Below are 5,135 nucleotides of genomic sequence, written 5' to 3' on the forward strand. Positions count from 1 at the left end.
TGAGACAGGGCGGACAGTGTGAGAAAGCTGTTGATGAGAGCTGCTGCCAAATAAAATCATCTTTCACCTGCCTACGGCCAGCCCCCACCACCCCAGAGTTCTTTCTGCTCATCCCCCCACTCCCTTCGGACCTCAGCATGACATTTTGTGTAGCTGTGAACCTGACACCGACCGTGCTGTGCTGGACTATGTGGCTGGTGGAGGCGTCACGCTATCCTGTAGCCATCCATCGCTGGATTTGTTTCTCCTTCCAGTTTCTGAACACAGGATTTGGAGTTAGAAACTCTGGCTTTAAATTGTGGACTGACCCTCACTGGTTATGAGATGGTGTAAGTCACTTAACTTCTTCACCTGCAGTTTCGTTTTCTATAAGTTGGAGGGTTATCATGGGATAACCCTCTAATTTACAGAATGTAACCCGCATGTTAATCCACCCTCACGTTAATTCTTCATCTGATGCTCAGGAACCTTGCCTCCCAGTACCTGTGCTCCAGTGTCCTCTCCACTCATGTGCCACAAGAGCCAGCCACCAAGTCCTGCTAGAAGCTGCATGTGGGCCAAGATCCACACAGAGCCCTAGAATCAGCGAGTTGACCTCTGCGCCTGGGTTCCACCTCAGTCCCCACCCTGTGTCCTCACAGTTCTTCTGAGAGCTGAGTCTTGGTGTCACTCACCAGACTGTGCCCCTGAGGACAGCACTTGGCATTGTGTTTGTGTTTTCAAATGTTTGAGAAGCGAATAAATCAAATCCAATTATAGGCTTTCCTGCCAGCCATTCAGTTGGAACATGCCTGGAACACTGAGGGGATGGTGTGAGAGAGTGATGGGTTAACTGTTTAACCCATTCAGGCTTCTGTAACAAAACACCATGCACTGGTTGGCTTGTAAAAAACAAAATTTATGGCTTCTAGTTCTGGAAGCTTAGAAGCCCAAGATCAAGGCACCAGCAGATCTGGTGTCTGGGGAGGGGCTGTTCTTCACAGACAGTGGCTTCTGGCTGTGTCCTCACATGGTGGAAGAGTGGGGCAGCTCTCTGGGGTCTCTTTTATAAGAGCACTAACCTGATTTGTGAGGGCTCCACCCTCATCACCTCCCAAAGGCCCCACCTCTCAATACCCTCATATTAGGGTATCAGGATTAGGATTTCAAATATGAGTTTGAGGGTTATGATTCCAAATATGAATTAGAGTTAGGATTTGAAATATGAATTTGGGGGGATACGTTCATGAAGAGTTCTTAGAGGACAAAGGAAATGAAGGCAGTGGCATGGAGGGCACGAGGAACCAGCTGACCTGAGTGAGCTCTTTGAGTGAGGAATTAGGGAGGTAGAGTATGGGTGAGGGGCCAGGGATGGGATGGGCTGCTCTCCCAACCATTCAGACCTGGCATGATGCAGTGGGCAGTGTAGGTGGGAGTCACAGGGGGACATGACATGCTGGGGAGGAGGGTCTGGATCAGGAAGGCCGATGCCAGGTGGCAGAGCCAGGCCCACCAGGGAGGGAAGACACCTGAGCCTAAGGAGTTGGAACCCTGAGTCTGTGGAGTTGGAGCCCACAAGCCGAGAAACAGGATGGAGGGAAAATCTTGAAAATTTATAGATATTAGATATTAGTAAATATAGTGAAACTGCCTTTTCCTAACATGAAGCGTAGTTGATGAATGTTTGTTTTGTTAATGGTGAAACCGTTCTACATTTTTCTCTTTTAGGATTCTTTCTGCATGGGCCCATTAGTCACTGTTTTATAAATCAACTAGACTCTCCTGGGAACGTAGATGTTCTTTTGCTGATTTATACGAAGGGGGGCCTTCCTGTGTTCGCAGGGATGATCTCTGTGCTGTTCAGGTTGACTTTAGAGAGTTCCCCCATTGCCAGGTTTGCAGGCTGAGGAAACAAGGTAAAGAAACAATTCTTTCTTTTTTATGGAAGCAGGTATTAGATTCATTACTCAGGTTACAGGCTAAGCTAGTCTTCTCTCCCTTTTTCCTGTAGATCACCCCTGATTTTCTTGGTCAGTGACTGATTTTTATCAAGGCGAGGACAGAATGGATGCAGGGCTGTGGGTAGGCCACCTCTTCATGCTGGCATCGTCATCAAAAGGCAGCGTGCGCATGACTCCTGGGGGCTCCAGGTCAGCCTCTGGTTACCCACTCTCTTAGTCATAATCTCCCTCTGCAAATTTTTATTTAAAAAGCAGCAGAGAGCTCTTCAAAGTCTTCTTCTCCAGCCATTAAGCTGCTCCTATTTCGTGCTGGCACTCAAATCGTAGCCACAGTTGTCCTGGGAATCGTGCGTTTCTCCTGCTCATGGCTGTTGGAGGCATGGCTTTGCTTTTAGCTCCAAGTACAGTCAGGTGAGGAAGCCAGGAAACTTGCCTCACATTTCAACCTGAACTCTGGCCTTGGCGGAAGGGAAGGGGACCTGGGAATGGAACCCTGTGAATCAGGCCTTCCTGGGTCCCTTTGTGCCTCCCTTGAATCCAGAGTCAGCATTTTTTTTTTTTTTTTTTTTTTTTGCAGAGCTCAAATCCAGCAGCAGTTCCCTGGAGCCAAAGGGAAAAGGCAACCCTGAACTCCCAACACCCACTCAATCCTAGGAGCCCACTCACTCTTCTTTCTCCCAAAAATACACCTCCAGACTTCTCTTCTCACCTACTTACTTCCCCAACTATTCAAACTGCTATGACTAGATTCTGGGGTGAGAAGTGGAGGCCGGGGGGCTTCCTAACTCTCTGGATGCTGCCCTCAGGCAGGTGTGATGTGTCCTGTCCAGCAAGGCACTGTCCTGCTCACTGTGCCTGCTGCAGCCAGCTCAGTGTCACCCTGTGATCTTGGCACTGGCATATGGTCTCCTGAGTTTTTGGCTATCCACTCACTTTGGTTTAGATGGGCTGTCTACTAAACAGGAGTGGGAATCTACTCCTGACTATACTTCCTTTGGGTAACATAACTCCCCCACCTCTTGGCCTCAGCCCTGGCACCAAAGGCTGCCAGGGGCCTACAGGGCTCTCCCATGGCCTACAGGGCTTCCTTAGGGTGGAAGATATTCAGATGCCATCTGTGCCCAGAGGGCTCAGAGGCTAAATTTCTGTCTTTCCCTATGCTCAGACAGCCTGTCATAACCTTAGCTTCCTCACTTGTGTTGGAGGCTTTCTGGAAACTTCCTTGAGCTGCAGGCATGAGTAGGTTCATAGTAGGGGCCAAAGACACCAGCTGGTGAAGACTGCGGATGCTTTCATCCAGTGACATTTGGATGACGAGTGCAGACATATAAAGCAGGAAAATCATGCTATTTGGAGGATGGAGAGCTGCATTCTAGTTGAGCTGTCACTCACCACAGCCCTGACTGTGGACATACTCCTTCACCCTGTGGGTGGCAGTTTATCCTTCTGTGAAATGGAAGGGATGTGTTCTTAGCAGTATTGCTATAAGGACTAAAAATACAACTGGCACAGAGTAGGCATCCTCAATAAATGCCATTTCTTTCTTCTATCTGCATCCTCAGCCTTTTAGTGTGTGTGAAGAAAAAAATGAGTTAATTCACGTGAAAGAATTATTTAAGCTCCATGAAGTACTTTATATATCTTCCCAATTCCTCTTCTTATCACTAGGATCAGAAAACATGGACCATGTAAAGTGGCCCATGCTATCTCTACTGACGAAGGAAACCCTTGCACAAACCAGGAAGCGTGGAGAAGACAGGAGACAGAGGGATCCACCAGGAAGGGCGGAAATGCAGCTTCAACACCCTCCCCTCAGGTCAATTTGAAATTCTGGATTCGGCATCTACTGACCCAAGGGAGTGCACGTGGCATCCTGTGTGCAGCACCTTCGGACCCAGCTGTGGTAGAACCTGGCACAGCCAGTGGGCCCTGTCACGGTGGCCTGGAGGAGCCCCAGAGGACAGCGACAGGAACCAGGACCCTGGCAGGGTTTATTTTCCAGTTTCTGGGTAAAGAGGAAAGAACTGAGACTAGGAATAGAACCTGGAAACCAGCTGCACATGCAGGTAGAGTCTGGCTGGGGCCCCCACATGGATCGCGATACGTGGGCCACCCTCACAGCATGACTGAGCTCAAGCCACATCCGTGCTCCCAGCCACTGCCTGAGCTGGGACCCACTGCCCTCTGCCCCCATGCTGCTTCCACAGGCATGTGCAGCCTTGGATGTGGGCCAGGGCCGGGCAGGGGATGCTCTGACAGGACAGTTTGGATAGATGAAGGTGAAGGGCATAGAAGCCCTTACTGCATTCAAGATGCTAATTACACTTGCCCATTTAGTTTTTAGTCAAAATCAATTTTTTACTCTCATTTTCATTTTATGCATGTTGTCATAAGTGGGAAAAAAGACTGTCTTGTCAGAATGATTGAATCTTCCATGAAATGAAAGCCATTTCCTGAATACTGTCCATTCAAGAGAATAAAAAGGAAGGAGAGTGCCATGAGCTTCAGAAACTTGGCCTTTACAGTTATGGCAATTGGAACACTTCTACCAATCTGTATGTTTTCTTATTTCTGAAAATTGTGTAAGTAATATAAGACCAATAATGCTGGCAAATCTATTGCAGTCTGATAATTTGCATTGCAGTGTGACATTGGAAGACAGAGAATCCCTGCCTAAAATTTACATAATCACAACTATTCAACAAGCTAATTCTCAACACAAAGACAATTTAGAAAATGTAAAAAATTAATGTCTGTATTATTTTAAGCCCCACTATTTCTGCTTTGTAAAACATAAAGACATGCTGTTTCCTGGGAAGTTATGTAAACAGATCAAATATTTAAGTATTTGATTACTATTAAATATCTGGGTGATATGGTTTCACTGTGTCCCTACCTAAATCTCAACTTGAATTGTATCTCCCAGAATTCCCACATGTGTTGGGAGGGACCCAGAGGGAGGTAGTAGAATCATGGGGGCCAGTCTTTCCCATGCTATTTGGGTGATAGTGAATAAGTCTCACGAGATCTAATGGGTTTGTCAGGGGGTTCAGCTTTTGCTTCTTCCTCATTTTTACTTTCTGTCACCATGTAGGAAGTGCCTTTCACCTCCTGCCATGATTCTGAGGACTCCCCAGTCATGTGGAACTGTAAGTCCAATTAAACCTCTTTTTGTTCCCAGTTTTCAGTATGTCT

At 47.3% G+C, this 5,135-nt stretch overlaps 1 long non-coding RNA gene across 2 annotated transcripts; it reads left to right on the forward strand.

Moving 5' to 3' along the window:
* The first annotated feature begins 221 nt into the window (after positions 1-221).
* Positions 222-4,633, forward strand: LOC105373395 (uncharacterized). 2 transcript variants are annotated; one of them, XR_005647110.1, is made up of 5 exons: positions 222-329; positions 1,708-1,895; positions 1,991-2,129; positions 3,609-4,006; positions 4,335-4,633. It is a non-coding gene; the product is annotated as an uncharacterized LOC105373395 (long non-coding RNA). The 2 variants fall into 2 exon arrangements; XR_005647109.1 differs by having other exon boundaries at positions 3,609-4,633.
* The last annotated feature ends 502 nt before the right edge of the window (positions 4,634-5,135 follow it).

The sequence above is a fragment of the Homo sapiens genome, chromosome 2, assembly GCF_000001405.40.
Source record: "Homo sapiens chromosome 2, GRCh38.p14 Primary Assembly".
Taxonomy (NCBI): domain Eukaryota; kingdom Metazoa; phylum Chordata; class Mammalia; order Primates; family Hominidae; genus Homo; species Homo sapiens.